The 18,033-nt window shown below is 51.9% G+C and overlaps 1 pseudogene across 1 annotated transcript, besides 4 other annotated features; it reads right to left on the bottom strand.

Annotated features, from left to right (window-relative positions):
- Positions 4,832 to 5,332: an enhancer, noted in NCBI's record as "H3K4me1 hESC enhancer chr16:31719202-31719702 (GRCh37/hg19 assembly coordinates)". NCBI's record gives its function as "activates a minimal SCP1, AML or CMV promoter by ChIP-STARR-seq in primed H9 embryonic stem cells {active_cell/tissue: H9 hESC(primed)}" and the evidence as "EXISTENCE:reporter gene assay evidence [ECO:0000049][PMID:30033119]".
- CLUHP3 (clustered mitochondria homolog pseudogene 3) lies at positions 5,499 to 12,619 on the bottom strand (annotated as a pseudogene). Its single transcript, NR_024034.2, has 9 exons — positions 12,475 to 12,619; positions 11,355 to 11,550; positions 10,532 to 10,678; positions 9,846 to 10,057; positions 8,823 to 8,993; positions 7,741 to 7,864; positions 7,421 to 7,541; positions 7,179 to 7,323; positions 5,499 to 6,322 (listed from the first exon to the last, which is right to left on the bottom strand). The product of NR_024034.2 is annotated as a clustered mitochondria homolog pseudogene 3 (transcript).
- Positions 12,247 to 12,396: a silencer, noted in NCBI's record as "silent region_7425". NCBI's record gives its function as "represses an Ori minimal core promoter by ATAC-STARR-seq in GM12878 lymphoblastoid cells {active_cell/tissue: GM12878}" and the evidence as "EXISTENCE:reporter gene assay evidence [ECO:0000049][PMID:35858748]".
- Positions 12,657 to 12,796: a silencer, noted in NCBI's record as "silent region_7424". NCBI's record gives its function as "represses an Ori minimal core promoter by ATAC-STARR-seq in GM12878 lymphoblastoid cells {active_cell/tissue: GM12878}" and the evidence as "EXISTENCE:reporter gene assay evidence [ECO:0000049][PMID:35858748]".
- Positions 17,181 to 17,230: an enhancer, noted in NCBI's record as "active region_10766". NCBI's record gives its function as "activates an Ori minimal core promoter by ATAC-STARR-seq in GM12878 lymphoblastoid cells {active_cell/tissue: GM12878}" and the evidence as "EXISTENCE:reporter gene assay evidence [ECO:0000049][PMID:35858748]".

The raw sequence follows: 18,033 nt of genomic DNA, 5'->3' as shown, positions 1-18,033 counted from the left end.
ATTGGAGGATTTCCACTCCGACGCCACTGATTGGGTAAAGCTCCAGGCCCCGCCCTCTCACTCGTTCTGCTTTTTGAATGGGAGACAGGCTCATTGAGGTGGGGCCACCTGCTGAGGGTATTACAGCTAATTTAAGGGGTGAGCTTGGACTTGAAATGCACTTGCTTTCCCGTACCTGGTTTTGCTTGTATAAGGCATCTTATTAGCTAATTAAGTTTAAGAAGGAGGGCATTTGGGCACCTTTAAAACAACTTTTTAACCGTTCTAATAACACAGGAAAGACCCTCATCCCATCCTTAGCACCTCTCATCACACGGTACCCCACTGCTCAGGACATAACTGTGGGACTGCAGAGGAAACTGCTGGGGTTTTTGGGGAGCATGCAGGAGGCTTCAACAGCCAAGGTAACGGTGGCTTCCCTTGGGTGTCACTTAAAATCTTGGGGTCAGGGACATCTTTTATCCAGTTGGCTCAGGGAAACTAACAGACAGGAGGATTGTAATTTTTTTTTTCTTTTCTGAATTTCCAAGACATAAAGGACTATCCAAGCATCCCAAAAGGCATTCAATTATACATAAGGCTGAGGGCCTCCCTGCTCTGGAGAGGGATGGCCTGGCAGCCACCAGCTGCAGTGAGCTGAGATAGTGCCACTGCAATGGGCCTTAAACTTGCCCTCTTGTAGACAGGCCACCTCCACACACCCGCTTCTCACATCGCAGGCTCTAACCCTCCGGTCCATCAAGGTGGGCTGCCTTCTTCCCATGTCATTAGCTCTCCACAAGCATCTAGTTAGCTCTAAAACCTACCACAGGATAGCAAACGTCAGACCCTCCTCCACTCTCCCGGCACTGCACGCCTTCTGGGGAGTGCTGCCAATCCCACCTCAACTGAAGGGACAAATCTGGGCAGGTGCCCAGTCAGATGTTCAGTGACCTAACAGGTCCAGCATGCCCAGGGCCTGACCCCACAGCCTAGCACCCCTCCCCCACCTGGCCTTCAATCCAGCCTTTCTTCTCCAATGACGGGATGTTCACCTGTGCCACAATCCCATTAGTCTAGTGACGAGGCCAGGTAAATCCCAGCTGAGTGCCTGTGACTCCACCCTCTTACTTCCCACTCAGGTGACATTACAAGCATAACCTTGAATTTGAGCTAATTTATACATATTCCTCTCCTAGTAACCTGTTTGACAACAGCCCTCACAATCCAGAGACTGGGGCAGCAGGTTCCAAAACCTCACTTTATTCCAATGTGAAATGAAGACATGATGGTTTAAAAATGAGAAAAAGTTCCTGATAAGCTGTGGGGGTGCTTCACTTGCCAGCTCATGCCCATTCCCTCTGAAACAAGGTGTCTGTTACCCATAAACAACTCTCTGTAAAGCCCCAGGTAGAGGTCACAGCTGGACGTGGCTCCCTCAGGCTCACAGGGTAGCAATCTCCTCCCCCAGTCCAGGCTTCCACAGCAGGCACGGACAGGTGCAGAGAGGGAGTGGCCATGGCCTGTGGGGTCCCCTGCCACCCTCAGAGCTAGTCTCTGCAGAAGGTGCTGTGTGGTAAGCAGCAGGGCTCCACAGAGAGGTGACAACCCTTCCTGTGTCTGCAACCTTTCCCCAGGATCCATGATTCAACCCTGGCTCCCTAGGCCCCTTACCCAGCACACCCTCCGTGTGTCAGGCAGCTCAGGTTAAAATGGGGAGAATGATATATTCCGACTGTAGACCCGAAGGTTCTGTCCATCTGGGGTACAGGGAGTAGGGACGCCAGTCAGAGCCTGTGGTAGCGCCTCCTGCTGGGCCTGAGGGCAGACAGGCCAGGGCTGGGCACAGGGACATCTGGGGGACCACCACTGACAAACCTGTCCCTCTCAGCCTGGAGCTACGGCCAGGCCAATCATGATTAATAAAACCACTGCAGCCTTCATCCTGCCACAAAACTAAAGTGGACCCCAACCCCCAGCCCTGCCACAAAGCTCTGCTCCCCATCTTTTTTGGCTTAAAACTTAGACATTAAGCCAGGTTGGGCCTGGGAGTTGTGGCAGTAAAACCAGCAGCCATAACGTCAACCACGCAAATGAGCTGAGGAATCCCATCTGTACATCATCCACTCAGAACTGCCTCGGAGCAATGCACAGGCTGGGACAGATCAATACTCATGGCCATGGATGCACTCCACACCCCTGTTGGAAGATGGAGAGGCTGAGGGGAATATGGGGAGCCCGAGTGGCCCCTCAGCTGGGAACTGAGGACCGTACATGCCATTCACAGGTCTTCAATTAGGCCTTTGCATCTTTAGGCTTTGTTGAATCAGTGCAAAAGCATCTTTTGGGGGGCATGCAGGCTGGGGTCCCAGGAGGATGGTGGGAGTGGAACGTGGAAGAGGGGCTCACTTCCTCTAAACTGCGAGCATGCCCCCTTCTCCTGGAGTCTGCATCGCTAACATCAGGGCCGCTGACTCTCTCTCTCTCAATCCCTGCAAGCTCAAGGAAAAAGGATCCTTGGCAGCCACAGGGCTGGGAGCTCAGTTCCTCTGCCCCCAGGGGCTCAGATTCAGTGGCCATAGGGGTCCCCAGCCCTAGCTCTGTTTTTTTGGTTTTGTTTTTTTGAGACAGGGTCTCACTCTATCACCCAGGCTGGAGTGCAGTGGCACAATCATGGCTCACTGCAGCCTGGACCTCTCAGGCTCAAGCGATCCTCCACCTCAGCCTGCTGAGTAGCTGGGACTACAGGTCGCGCCACCACGCCAAGCTAATTTTTGCTTTGTGTAGATGGGGTTTCATCGTGTTTCCTAGACTGATCTCCAACTCTTGAGCTCAAGTGATCCACCCACTTCAACCTCCCAGAATGCCCTATCCCTGTTTTTCTGGATTCCTGGAGCTAGTGACGCTGCACCACCTCTGCTTTCAGATTCTCCTAGTCTTCTGGGTGAGTAGAAGGTGGGAGAGGAGGTAGGTGTCAGACTGGGCCAGGGCCCTGGGCCCCCGCTAGCTTGGTTAAACTCCCACTTGGGACAGATCAGGTTCCGTGCCATATTCAGTGAGACGCGTGGAACAAGTACTTCCCTCCCAAAAGCAGAAAGATCCCTAATTGCTGACAGTCAGGATTCCATGCACTTGACTCGGCCTAGGGCCCAGTTGCCTCTAACCCTCTCACCCAGTTCCAATCACTGCACTCTGTGGCCTCCCTGCCACCAGATTAGGTGTAGACAATGGGTGTGGGACAGGGCTGCTGACACCCCTGGCTGACCAAACCCCTTTCCCACACTGAGGAGAGAAAAAGCAGGAGGTTAGGGGCTCCCAAAGGCAGCACTGCTTGTGACAGCACCGCGGGAGTCCTCAGGGCCTGCTCCTAAGGCACATTTTGCACTGGAACCACAGGCAGCCTAGGAAGGAATAAAGCCACTACCTAGGAACTGAAATGGAAGATCACCAAGATACGTTGTTAAATGAAGTAAACAATAATAACCTTCATACGTGGCATGCCACAATTCCAAAGAAAAAAAAAGAGGGGGATAAAGATCACATGGAGTATTTCTGGAAGGATTCACAAGGAAGTTCTCATCACTGGCTACACTTTTCAATTTTGAGCCATGTCAGCCTATTACATATCTTAAAAAACTAAAGGCCAACTTCTAAGTAGGGAGCCATGGAGGGGCCTCAGCTGAGAAGAATGAAGAGGACATCACCGATGACCTGGAGCTGCTCCAAGACGCTGGCCATACTGGGGGCTGTGAACTGAGGGGCCGTGGGGGGATGAGCTGTGAGTGAGGCTCATCCTACCCAGGCCGGGTGGGGGCCCAGCTCCACCCAGGGATATAGCTGGAGGGGCAGGATGCTGGCACTGCAGCCGACCAGTATCTCCCATTCACAGTGTGCTGCTGGGCCATGGCCTGCTGGGCCAGGCACTTGAGGATCTCGGAGCTTTCCTTCTCGTGGTTCTCACCAAAAAACAGGGGAGAGAGCACAGGCAGGAAAGGATTAGCTGCCCACAGCCTACAGGCGCAGCTCAACCCACCGGCCCTGCCACAGCCCACCTGGGCCTTATAGATGTTGTCAAATTCCTTCTTCTGCTACAAGCCGGACCAGAACTCAGCTTTGCTCTCACAGACCCAGGCAACAAGGTGGTGGCTGCCAGATCTCCCCAGACAGGAAGAAGACAGCCAGAGTATAGAGGTCGGGGAGAGAGGGTCCACATTCAGACCAGGACTTCCAACAGAGACAGGAATGCCACTGGCTTCTGGAAAAGAGTTACTTGTGGTGTGGGAAATTTAACATGGCCAACTCCTAAGCACTAAAAACCAGCAGCACCAACACTCAGGGACTGTGACCTTCACAACCCACCCAGTGACTTCCAAATGCTCCTTAGGAGAACAGCACAGCTCAGCTGGGTCACTGGTTTGACTGCTTGCTGGCTTGCAACCAACACAAAGCTCCAGATTCTGCATCTGGGAGCCTGATGGCAGGTGGGTGGGGGATGGGAAAGGGGCTCTAGTGAGTGTGGCCAAAACGAGCTCTTCTTCACTGTCCAGAGCTTCTCTCTTCAACGATCCAGCCCCAGAACAACCCAGGGTGCCCGTGCCCGCAGCAGAGTGCAGCTGGCTGCAGCCTCAGCCTCACAGGGCTGCTCCTCAACTGTGCTCCACAAAGACATCCACCAGCTCCTGGCACAAGCGACAGAACCTGTGCCTGTGGGTGCAGGGGAAGCTGGCATGGGAGCACTCCTCTGGCAGCTCCTTGTGGGGCACAGGCAGGAAGCTGAGGTCAGGGGGAGGGGGCTCAGCAGGTAGTATCTGTCATTGCCAGTGACACCCTTGCCCTCAACCGAGAAGAGCTCCGCCTCATCGTTGCACTGGTTGAGCATGCAGTGGCACAGGGTCTTGAGCAGTTAACTCATGCTCCAGCAGATCCAGGCAACACGATGGGGGCCACACCACCATCTTACAAAGTCAGTGGAGCCATAGATGACACTCTGCTCCTGGTCCCACTCCAGGATGCCAGGGATGAGGACTGGAACCTGACCCAGTAGCTGCGGTCATCCACCTCTGCTGTGTCCAGCGTGTACAGACCCTCCATGTCCGCTGCCTTGTGCGGGTGCTCACCGTTCAGGTCATTGGTGAATGCTATGGAGGCTGCCACATCCCTGGCAAAGTCCTTGTAGTGGCCACTAATGACAAAGCCCAGGCTGAAGATGATGCGGCTCCACATGAACATCTGCAGCTTGGTCTCCTCACTGGGACTGATGGCCATGACGATGCCTCCCTGACTACCATGGCGCCCCATGTGGCTGCCATTCTGAAGTTGCTGTGTACCTGGGAGGGACCAAGGCTGGGAGGGTGAGAGGCCATGCCCACAAAAGCCTCAGGCTACATCCACCTGGTCCAGCTCGCCAAGATGGGAGAGGCAACCAGGCCTGCCTTGGGAGCCAGAGACCCTTGCCTCAGTTTCCTTATATTTAGAGAAGGGCAAGAAAATCATTTCTACAAAAAAGTAAACACTTATGCTTAAAGAGGCACAGAGTTTAGTGGCTACCAAGGAGTATGAGGGCTGCGGCAGGTTTGGGATCCACCAGCTATGTGCCAGGCAAACCAGGGCAGGTAACTTCAGACCCAGTTTCTTGTCTATGCAACGATGATGATGGAAAGTATTGACATTTACAAGGGGTCCAAAAGATTATAGGAAATAATGCTTATAAAGCACTTGGAATCATCCTGGTAAAGTTAGTACCCAAGAAATTTTGGCTGTTACTTCTTCCATGTTACACAGTAAGTTTAGGAGAGATTTTTTTTTTTTTTTAACAATTATTTTTTCCTCATTTCTCTCAGTAACCGCACTAATGACTTTTAAGTGCCAGCAAGCTGCAAGTGCTGCCAATGAGCCCCTGCCCTAGAAGGGCTACAGTTGGGCACCATGTGCTCAGGGGAGGGCCCCATGGCAGTCAGTGGAGGGTGGGAAGCTGGATGGCCCTGGCCACTCAGCCCAGATAGCAAGGAGGGCCTTCTCCTCCCAAGGACTCAAAGTCTCAGAGGCCGGAGAAAGGTGGGGGATGGTCTCCCAGGAAGCAGAATGCTAGAAGGCCTTGCAGGGCAAACCTGACGGGCCTTCAGGGCACCTGACAGGGCTGGGACTGCCGGCTTCCCTCACTTCTCTCCCGAGCACAAGAAAACCTTCCAGCAGGAGCCAGGTGGGCCTGAGGCTGTGAGGCTGTCACTCACTTACCAGGGGATTCAGGCACCTTGAACATGGCTTTTTCTTGAAGCAGCTGCTCAGGTTGGTTCTTGTTGGGTAGGTCCCTCATCATCTGCAGCTCCTCGTTCCAGTACTGGGGCTGCAGAGGGACCAGGGAGGGAGACATGGGCTCAGCCTGTGCACTGCAACCTGCTCTGGGAAGTCCCTTCTCCTCTCTCCCCACAGACAGCCCCAGACTCCCCAATGAACAGACCTGTGGGGAGCCTCAGGGAAGTGCACAGAACCCCACCTGGCACCCAGGAAGGAAGGGGGTTCCCACTGAGGACCGGGCCAGGCTACAGGCCCCTATGCAGGAATGTGCTCCTCACAGCCCAGCCTTGAGGTGCAGATGCCTCTCCACACTGCAGTCCACAGTGTACTCCGTCACAGGGGCCATCCAGCTGCACACCTGGAATGAGGTGGCCCCCTCTCGAATGGGTGGTACTGGACCTCAAGGCAGGCAGGGGAAAGGCAGATGGGGCCACCCACCAATCTCAGGACGCTGCCACAGGCTCCTTCTTCATCGAGGCCCTCACCTGCTCTGGGTTCTCCTGGCCCTGAGATGCTGCCCTGAAAGGCGAGTCAGAAGCACATGGGCGCTGCTTCACGGCTGCTCTAGCCAGAGCTGGTTCACAGCTCCCTAGAGGGAGACTTGGGCACTGGGGGCCCGGGGACAATTTCTTTGGGCAGAAGCACTGAGTTTGGGCTAGCCAAATCATCCCAGACCCCTGTGTGACATGAAGCGGGGCAGGAGCAGACGGGGCAAAGGCACTCCCCTTCCCCTGACGCAGGGCACAATGTTCTGTAAAAGGCAGTCAGATCTGGCAGAGCAGCTCCCCTGCGAATTGCTTAGGAAGCGGGGGCTGGTGGGCTTGGGGTTGAAGTGACAGGCTGGAGACCTACAAGAAGAGGGTGGTCCCTGAGTGGGTGCCCCTGGTAGGCTGGCAGGGACTCACCAGTTATGGTAAAAGCCCTGTGTGGATGTGGTAATGCTACCTCGCTGGTCCTCGGCTGTGATCACAAACAGGTACACAAGGTCCTGTGCATCTTGCAGTTCCCAGGGGACAGGTACCAGCCGCTCACGGTGAGCACTTTCAGGGGCTGCAGGAATGGCCAAGCATGAATGGGCCAGGCCTCCTGGTGTGTGGCCCTCCACCCACCCGGGGACCCTCTTCCTTGCTCCTCCCTGGAGTCCCACCTTTTAGTCACCGTTCTGGGGTTGCAGGGGACACAGTGGCTGTTCCAGGGTCCCTAGCAGGATGTACTTGGGTGGTGTGCAGTCGGTGGGGTCCATCTCCAAGTCTTTCTGCTCCTGCCGTCTGTGAGACCCAAGGCTGGTGGTCAGCACACAAGCACCCAGGGCCAGCTGCCTCTAACTGTGGCCCTGGTCTGGGTTCCTCAGGCCCAGGCCCCTCCAGGTAGAAAGGCCTGGCCTTAAGCCCCCTTCGTCAGCCTCTGGCCTCCTTGTTCCCTGCCCCTCTGCCCCCTGCCCAATCTCTGGCCCCAATGCCTCCACACCTCTCAGGCCACTGTCAGTGAAGACGCTCAGGAAGGACAAGGAGCTGCATCAGCTGGGTCCAGGCTCCTGAGCAGTCTCAAATGTGGCACTCATCACCGTGGGCCTTGTGCATTGTGCAGGGCTCTGTCAGGAACAGGAGAGAGGAGGGTGTTACCAGGGCCCTGCACCCTGGAACAACCCACCCAGCTTAGTAAATAGTTGGCAAGGAAACTTCATGGATAATTTTAATTTTCAACTTTAGGCTTCCATTTTCAAATTCCACTATGGACACATAAGCTAGAGTTTGGTTTCAATACACACGTGTGCACGTGCGCACCTACACACACACACAAACACACACACAACACACCCTGGCTTGCTAAGGGCAAGAATCCTTGATTGCAAAGAACCTCCTGCCAGTTGCTTCTGAAGCACACACAGGCCTTGGGGAGCCCACAAAAGGCCTCCTGCTTTTTGTGCGCTAGGCCTCTGCAGCCTCACCCTGCTCTCCTGGGGCAGCCTTCATGCAGGGGTGGCCTGACAACTTTCTAGGGCTGCCAAATTTAACGCCCCCATTGAGTTTCATGGGATTTTAATGGTCATTGTTTTGGAGGAAGGGAGAAATTGTGATGAACTGTGGGCCCCCTTGAGCTACAGACCTTTTCCACAAGTAGTCAGGCCCTGGGAACCTGAGTGCTTCACCCAGAGAACTTGAGTCTACGGAAGCTTTTATTTGACAACCAAGCCAGGCTCACTACACCAGCTGATGGTGCTGCTTGGAGCCGACTTCCCCACTCAAGGACTGTGAAACTTTAGTTTCTTTAGGAAACTAAGCACTCATCTTTTCATAATTTAATAGGGCGGATTCCAAGCCCTAGCTTCATACTGCCTGACTTTCTTTTCAGAATTTCAACTGTTTTTTCACCCCTGGGCCATGAAGTTAGAGAGTGCAGGTATGATGCCCTGAAAAGCAGACTTGTGCTCCAATCCCACCTCCATATGCTCATCTGCGAAATAGAGACACCAGCTGGGGCAGTGCAGTGTTGCCCGGCCCTGCTTACAGGGGCCCTCCCTGGGCAGGCTGCCCAACTTCCAGACCAACCTTCCACCACGTGGAGCAGCAAGCCCGCCTGCAGCCCTGCCATGCTGCGCAGCTCTGAGACGTGGTCCAGTGTGCTGCCACCCAGGTGCAGTGAGAAGTGATGTGGTGACATGGGTATTCATGGTCCATGAACAGCTGGTGGATCTCCAGCACCATCTCCTGCGGGAACACCTGCCAGGGAGAAGGCCCGGACCAGCCCGGTCAGAGGCCACATGGTAGGGAGCAAGGACATACCCCTTCCCCAGCCCAAAACACCTGGGTCCTGAGAATAAGTGTCTCAAATACTCAGTTTCCCACTTTTGGGCTTTTACATTCCAGGCCCTGTCCATATACAGCATGCCCATTGGCACCTGTGTGCCTAAGTGCAGGACAGAGCCTGGCCCCACTGACTCTTCCTGCAGCCTAAGAGCAACCCCCGAGCCAAGGAGAGGGAGATGGAAGAAAGTGGGGAGGGGGAACGGCAGGCTTGCTCTTGCCCTTGCCTAGTGCCAAGGGCTGAGTGCCCCAGGGCAAATGGCCTTTTCCTTCCTGAAGGGGTGCTCCAGGGCCCAAGCCTGTGAGTAGAGAGGACATGAGAGGGTCTTGCCAGGCTCCCCACCAAGTTACCAGCTTGCAAGTCCTCCGGGTTTGCTCTGTCCTTGGAGAACACCCAATACCACCCTCCAGGCCCCGGTGACAGATGGTAAGGCCATGGCCCATAGAGAGGTGACTTGCCTGAGGGCACAGAGCCAAGAGGCTGGGGCATCCTGGGACCTGACACTACCCACCCATTCCCACTCCTCTCCCTGAACAGGGCTGGTAGGCCCAGCTGGTAGCTGTCCTCTAGCAATAAGGCAGTAACTGAACCCGGACTCCATTCCCAGGTCCACCACATTAGCAGAGTGACCCCGGGCAGGGCCCAGGGCCCTCCATTTCCTGCCTATAGCACAGGGCCAGAAAGAGCCAGGGCAAGGCTGAGTTTTCCAGCATCATCTTCCCCAGCAGGCTCAAGCCCTGGTCCCCAGATCCCCTCCTCCATCATACCCACAGGGAGAAGGGTTCGATCTCGGGGCCAGGATCTCCACAGAAAAGTCCAAATCCTGAATGGTGACTTCTATCTGGTGGTGTCGTCTCCTGGCTTGGCCTCATCCAGCCCATGTTCCCGGGATGGCTCAGCCTCCTCCTTCCTCCTTCAGGCTCCTTCTTCTTCAGGGTCTCCAGGCAGTTCCCATTCAAGAACATGAGTGATGGTGGCTCTGGGGGTGACAAGAAAGGCACTGAGTTGGTTGGGCCTTGCTGGTGAGGGAGGGCTGTCCACCTCACCCCACTTGGATGGACACAAGTCATATGGAACGGTGTCCGCGTGCCCTCCAGAGCTTTGACTCCACAGTCCCAGCTCACCCTCGGCACACCTGCAAGCTGCACCTTCTCCCTTTCACATCCTGTGCCTCCCTCCTCAACTGCTCCTTAGCCCACCACAGTCTGGCTTCCACCTGAGCTCGCTGTCCAAACCACTCTCCCCACATCACCAAGGCCACCCTCAGGGCCAAGCCCCAGGGGCTTCTCCAGCCCAGGTACATCTGTCCACTCACCAGCACCCAGGCCACTGCTCATTTCCTTTCCTCCTCCCTGACCAATGCCACACCCTCGTCCCTCCCTCTCCAGCTCCATCCTCTTCCTCCAGTCCTGAGCTGGGAGTGTTGGGCCCCCCAGCCTCTCCTCATTCTCACCTCACCCTCTCCCATGGCTTCAAAGATGGTCCCATTTCCCAGCTCTCATAGCCAATCCTGGCCTCGATCAGGCCTTTCAGACCAAGGAGGCAGCTGGTCCTGGGCATCAACATGTGGCTCTCCCTTCAGTATCATGGAAGACCCATCCTGCAGGGATGAAATTCATCTTCCTCCACAAACTGGTCTCAGCGTGTGAAGGCCCCCCACCACTTATCTAGTCACCCAACCTCAATTTCCCATCTCCTATTTCAAGAATGCCCCTTGGAACCCTTCTAAGAAGCACACTGCTCACAAAACCAAGCTGCTTTTTTTTTTTGAGATGGAGTCTTGCTCTGTTGCCTAGGCCGGAGTGTAGTGGTGTGATCTTGGCTCACTGAAACCTCCGCCTCCTGGGTTCAAGAGAGTCTCCTGTCTCAGCCTCCCAAGTAGGTGGGACAGGCATGTGCCACCACGCCCAGCTAATTTTTGTATTTTTAGTAGAGACGGGGCCATGTTGGCCAGGCTGGTCCTAAGCTCAGGTGATCCGCCTGCCTCAGCCTCCCAAAGTGCTGGGATCACAGGCATGAGCCACCACACCCAGCCAAAATCAAGCTTCTTAAGCCCGTGTTCTCAGGCACCAGCCTAAAGGCAACCCCAGCTCCTGCCGGCTCCTGCACTTAGGTCTACATTCCCCAAACCACAGAGGACTGAGAATACCTGAAACCTGCCCTCCCACCTCTCTGCTTTTCCATGCTGCCCCTGACATCTCAGTCTGTCGGGCAAACACTGACTCATCCTTCAAGGCCTAGGTGAAAGTGTCTACAGGTAGACTATTGCTGCCTACCTGCCACCCATCCTCCTTCCCAGAGATCAGTGAATGAAGGATGTGGAGCCCCAGAAGGAGGGAACTATGTCTTCTGATCTGTCCACAGCCTTGACCTCCAAAGTTTAGATGTGGATGGAGTAGAATAAAGGCAAACTTCTTTTTTTTTTTGCAATTTGGCCTTGGCCCTAATGGTCAGGCTGCATCTGCTTGAAATCTACAATAAAGAGCAAATAGTTGATAACGTTGTGAATTGCAGAGGGGAAGCTGGCAGTTGAGAATCAGGAGAAGGAAGTGAAAATTTAGAATTTTACTGAAAGCCTTAGAAGAATTAGGTTGGGGGAACAGGGTGGTGGATTTGAGACCCTCCTTGCCATAGATTTGGAAAATGCAGGGAAAATCAGTCCCCCTGTGGGGTGTTAAAATAATTAAATGGGAGGCAATTTGACTGAAGTGGCTGTAGTGCCCTGGGTTTCTACCTAAGAAAACCAAAACGTAACTCATGCATTTCTTAGAAATAACTTAAAGGAAAAGAAAACACTCTTAACCAACCACAAACCACCAATTAACCTTTGATTACATAATCAGGGAATTTCCGCCTGGACAGTTCAAATAAGGGGACTACGTAATTGTAGCCAATCAATTACTGAATTGGCTTTGCTTCCTCATGCATCTTATTAAACCCTTTCCTTCAAGCCCCTCCGGTGGACCCCAAACCACAATCCATGGTTGTGGCTTCCTGATTCACGGGTCGTTATTTGCTCAGATAAAATCTTTAACGTTTTAACCAAACCTCAGTTTAATTTTTAACAAAAGAAAGAAAGGACTACGGACCCCACGGACCACAGCTCCTCCCACGCCCGAACCCCGAGCCGGGGTTCTCCCCTACGGCCCCTCCCGTCATCACCGCACAACGCGGGGAGACACGGGGCTGCGGGCGCGAAACTGCCCAGAGAGGGCTCAAGGCAGGACCAAGGTCGTCGCGCAGGGACGGGACGAGGCGCCCGGGGTCCCAGCTGCCGGCCGAGCCGCACCGTGTGACCGAGGAGACTCCGGGCCCCGACCCCGGAGCCGCCAGGGGCAGGCCCGGTTCCCAGCCGACCCCTGCCGCGTCTCGGGAAGCTCAGCCCCGCAGACTCACCATCTCGCGGCTTCAGGAGCGTCCCGGTATCCTCTCTAGGGACCGTCCAGTACCTGCAGGTCACAGGGCAAAGGAGGCTGCGGAATGAAGGAGAAAGAGCAGGGTACACAGATCAAGCAGGGAAGCGCACCTGGGAGAGGAAAAGGCCAGCCCAGAACACAGGAAGTGCGCCCCCTTTTTCGGCTGCGCGCCTGATTGGACAGGCTCGACAACGGCGCCGCTGAATGGATAGGGCTCCAGGTCCCGCCCCCTTACCCCCGAGTGACAGGAGATGCGATCACAGGTGTGGCTGAATGAGGCCTGAATGAATGATTGTCTGCAGCCCTTTTCAGGCAGGGCTGACTCCCTGTGCTGGGACCTGGGGCTGCTCCGGACATTGGTATTTAACTTTGCTCATAAGATTATATCAATTTATGAGTAATATAGGTAATATGTAAAATTGAAAATTATATAATAACGATTCTTTTAAAATTTCAGATTTCATAACCTTCATGGCCTCTGGTCCCTTGTGGAGGCAGCATGAGATTTGAAAATGGAGGGAGTCCTCTAAGTCAGAAATGTCCAATAGGAATAAAATTGAGCCGCATGTGTCATTTACAGTAGCCTAGTGGCATCATGAAAGGAAAACAGGTAAAATTGATGGTAATACCTTAACCCGATATATCCAAAATATTATCACTCAAATATGTGAGCAATATGAAATTATTAATGAAGACCACCAGAGAATGCTTCTTAAGTTTGGGGTACTAAATCTTGTAAAGTCACTCTGTATTTAAACTTCTAGCACATCTCAGTTCCAACCAGCTCTATCCAAAGAGCTCAGCAGCCCCACGTGGGCAGTGGCTTCCGCATTGAAGAGCAGATCTGAGGGCACTTGCGCGTCTAACCTCAGGGAAATCGAGGGCCTGGACCCCCTTTCCTGCCAGACGAGAGCGAACACCCTCATCCTGCCCATCTCTTTCCTCATGCCCAAGGGTGGGAGAGGCAGTGCCCAGTGAGAGAGCCAGGGCTGCAGTCAGGAGGTGTCCACAGGTCGACCACTGCTGCCCACCTGCTTCTGGGCAGGGCTCCCTCAGCCTTCCAAAGGTCAGACAGTGAATGAAGAGTGTCAGGCTTCAGGAGGAAACCCCTGACTTCAGATCTGTCTACAGCCTTGACCTCCAAAGTTTGGATGTGGAGGGAATAAAAGCAAATTTTTTTTATTTTGCAATTTGCCCTTGGCCCTGATGGTTAGGCTATGGCGGGCTGTTTCCTCCTATGGTGTGGGGACTGTGTGAGTTTAAGCACCAAGCATGTCAACATGCATTTCTGTATAATTTATCCCTATCCAACAAGAGGCCCCACTTTAAATAAAGGGAAAAGCAAATCAATACCTTATACAGTGCCTTCTGTTTGCCAGGTAACAACAAGTAGTGACCAACCTGTCATTTGAATCCTGGCAACCTGACTGCAGGTGTATGTATCAGTTAGCTATTGCTGCATTAAAAACCACCCTAAACCTTATTAGCTCATGATTGGGATGGTCAGTCATTTAGGCTGGACTCAACTGGGCCATTCTTCTGGTCTCAGCTGGGCTCCTTCAGGCGTGTGTGGTCAGCTGCTGGTTGACTAAGTGGCTCTGCTTCTGGGTGTCAGCTGGGGCACCTTGGTTTTCCTCCCCAGTGGGATCTCATCCTCCAGCAGGCTAACATGTGCTTGTTCTCATGGAGATGGCAGGGTTCTAAAAGAAAAAGCAGAAGCATTCAAGGCCTTATGTCCCTAGACCCCAAACTGTCACATTGCCATATTGATAGCTTTCTATTGCCCAGAGCAAATAAGGCCAGCCCAGATCCAAGCGTCAGGAAACAGATTCTGCCTCTATGTTGGAGCAGCTGTAAAAGCATATTCCAAAGGGCATGGACACCAGAGCCATTTTGCAGTCAGTATCATTCTGCCTTTTCTTACAGCAAGGTTTATATAACTGTTCCAAGTCAAGGAACATGTCCAAAGCACTACAGCTACTAAGTGGCTGGACTGGGACTCTGGATCAACTTTGCCTGACTCCAAAGCCCATGTACCTCCATAGACCTCACAACTCAAGCAGCTTCCCTAGGCCTTTGAGATCCTGAAGACTGACTCTTCTGCAATAGAATAAAGGTTCTTTTGAGATGCTCATCCTTCTAGTAGGATTATTCACAATTAGGAGTAATCCCCACCAGAGAATGCTTCTGAAATGTCTTGCAAACATTTAGATTAACTTGGGAAAATGGCTGATGGCTGAGTTTAAAAAATCAAGGCATAACTTTTTCATTTCTTACCATAGGAGAGATCTGAAAACACATATAATGCACGAACATGTGTGCAAATTATTTTCATCCCCGTGCGTTATTTGTAGTCTGATTATGATTTTTAACACAGACTAAATTAAACTACTGTTCCCGAAACAACGTTTTACTCTGAAAGCAAGAGACACAAAGGTAGATCTGCCGAGAAGACATTTCCTCCTGCCTCAATTTAGCCAAACAGCTGAGTACGTCTTAAAGTCAGCCTTCGATTTCTAACAAGTCAAGCTGTTTGCCAAGACCTCAATCAGATCATAAGAGTGCTTCAGCTACTTCATCATCCTAGAAGGTTGACCAGACAGATCGAAGCTCTGGGGGTGGAGTGGTGAGAGCACCCGCACTAGCAGGTGGGCAGCCATAGGTCCATAGATGAGAGTCATTCATTAGGTGGGGTGTTTTGGGGTCCTGACATTTATGACACAATTAATGTCTATATTACTAAATGTAAATTTTAAAACATTACAAATAATAAATCTACATATAAACTGAATATGTCAGCAATTACAATTATTGTTATTCATCATTATTCTAAGTGTGATCATTATTATTACCACAATTAGAAATAGTGGTTGTGATTGTTGTTGCTGCTGCTGCTGCTGTTGCTGCAGGGATGGTGATAAAAACACCGGGTAAGGCTCTGCTGCCTCCTCCACTTGTGGCATCGGGAGCTGCTGGCTCACTAGTTTGGTGCACACTCTGGACCTCTTTGGTGAAGCTGCAGCTGAAGAGCCTTCAGGCTCTGCTATGGCAGAGAAAGAGCCTGAGTCAAGGCCGAGAGCAGAATCCTGTGAATTTGAAAGTGGCAGGTAGGATGGTCCCGGGGTGCAGTTGATGGTGAAGAGGCACACACCACTTAGTGAATGAGTGGAAGCCTTTGGTGAAAGGCAGAGTTTGTCCATGACACAGATCAGATTCCACTTTGACTGGGGCCAATCAGTGAAACAGACACATCTGCAGAACTGGAAACAGAGGACAAAGATTCAGTTGATGTGTTCCAGAAGCAGACTGGAGTGTCTACTGAGAACACACTCACGGCTTTACCCCAGAACTCTGTTCCTACAGACATTCTCATGTGGAAAACTGCAATATGGTTCCACCACGTCTGATTGGTCCAGTATCCCCTTCTCTATTCTTCACTTTCTCCTTCCTTATTCCTTTACTGTACATAAATTATCAAGTGTAGCTGCACAAGCATATTGATGATTTTGTTTGCTTGCTTGTTTGATTGTACCGAATGGCCACCAGTTTGTGTTGAGTGATTGCCAATGGACACAAGGCGAGGGAAAACACTGATTCTGGGAAAAGACTCCCTTTCTCCACCAGGGGATGCTCACTTACCTCTTATCTCTATGTTCCAGGACTTTAACAACATAACAAACATAATGATCCTTAACGCTTGTTGCAGGGAGAAGAAAAAACCATAATAATCTTTGCATACATTGTTCGATTGGAGAATTTTGTTTTTGAAATATTCCATTGTGAAACTAAGGACAATTTCTTAACTTTCTTAAATGTAGCTGTTACACATAGGGCAAATCTGTCCTCACACAGGACTAAGTGACACTTACAACAACAGAATGAATCCCAGATATGTTCCTCTTCAAATCTGGCCTCTGGTTGTTTAAACATACATCTCGTGTAAAATATATATATTTAAAAATGTGTATAAATAGAAACATGAAGTTCCTCTAGCCACCAAGTAGGTTGGTTGGACTCAAAATGAGGTAGAAGGAGTTTCCATCTGCAGTACATTTGAAGTCCTCCTAGGAACCAGGGAACTGTCCACACCCTCTGAAGCTAGTCCCCTCCTCTTCTGCCTGGGGCAGGGTGCCCTGTGAGATTCCCATGTCCTGGCCCAGGAGGTATATGGAGGGTGGGAGGTTGTCGGTCTCACACCCAGCAGACATCCCTAGCCCAGGACTCTCTGGAAGGTATTACCAGAGTCCCCATAAGCTGCCAGGGTGACACCCTTCCAGAAAAGTTATACAGGTGAATTGTGCTTGGGGCCCAGTCCATGGGTGATACCAAGCCACTTTGCACCCTAGATAGAGGGCAACACCTCTAATGCAACTGCAAACTATAGTAAAGCTTTGTGTGTGTGTGTGTGTGTGTGTGTGCGCGCGCGCGTGCGTGCGTGTGTGTGTGTGACAGAGTCTCACTCTGCTGCCCAGGCTGGAGTGCAGTGGTGTGACCTCAGCTCACTGCAACCTCCACCTCCCAGGTTTAAGCGATTTTCCTGCCTCAACCTCCCGAGTAGCTGGGATTACAGGCACCCACCATGATGTCCAGCTAATTTTTGTATTTTTAGTAGAGATGGGATTTCACCATGTTGGCCAGGCTGGTCTTGAACTCCTGACCTCAGGTGATCCACCCACCTCGGCCTCCCAAAGTGCTGGGATTACGGGCCTGAGCCACCGCACCCAGCCCAAACTACATTAAGGCTCTATCTGCTGACAAAATCTGAGAGCCAGGAAATGGGACGTCCTCTTTATGCTTCAAAGGAAATGAGAACAGGCTAGAAGTGGTTTGTGCATGTGTTCATGACTGCCATTGTCAGGGTGAGTTGAGAAGTGCATGAGCTCAGAAAAGGACTGTGCCACATGACAAGCTGGAGTGGGTGTGACAGGGGAAGACTATAAACAAAATGTGTAAAGTAAAATGGAAGTTCCACTCAGTAAAGAAAACAGAATGAAAAAAGAAACCTGAAAACTCACTTTATTTTAAGAAGAAAAAAATCTATAATCAAACCTTAATTATGCTGTGGATGGCATATCTCTGCTTTCATGCAATGATCGGATGAAACCTGCAAGCTTGTCCAACCCACAGCCCATGGACCACATGGGACCCAGGATGGCTTTCAATGTGGCCCAATACAAATTCATAAACTTCCTTAAAACATTATGAGATTTTTTTTTGCAACTTTTATTTTTAGCTCACTAGGTATTATCAGTATTAGTATATTTTATGTGTGGCCCAAGACAATTCTTCTTCCAACATGGCCCAGGGAAGCCAAAACATTAGATATCCCTGTACTACAGGGTTCTAGAAAAATAAGTGATATGGTTTGGCTCTGTGTCCCTACCCAAGTCTCATCTCGAATTGTAATCCCCACTTGTCAAGGGAAGGACCTGGTGGGAGGTGATTGGATCATGGGGGCATTTTCCCCCATGCTGTTCTCACGATAGTGAGTGAGTTCTCACCAGAGTTGATAGTTTTAAAGTGTGGTGCTTCCTGTCTC

This window comes from Homo sapiens, chromosome 16 (genome assembly GCF_000001405.40).
Source record: "Homo sapiens chromosome 16, GRCh38.p14 Primary Assembly".
In the NCBI taxonomy this organism is placed as follows: Eukaryota; Metazoa; Chordata; class Mammalia; order Primates; family Hominidae; genus Homo; species Homo sapiens.
Note: the sequence above shows the minus strand (reverse complement) of the source record. Positions and strands in the feature narration are given on the sequence as shown.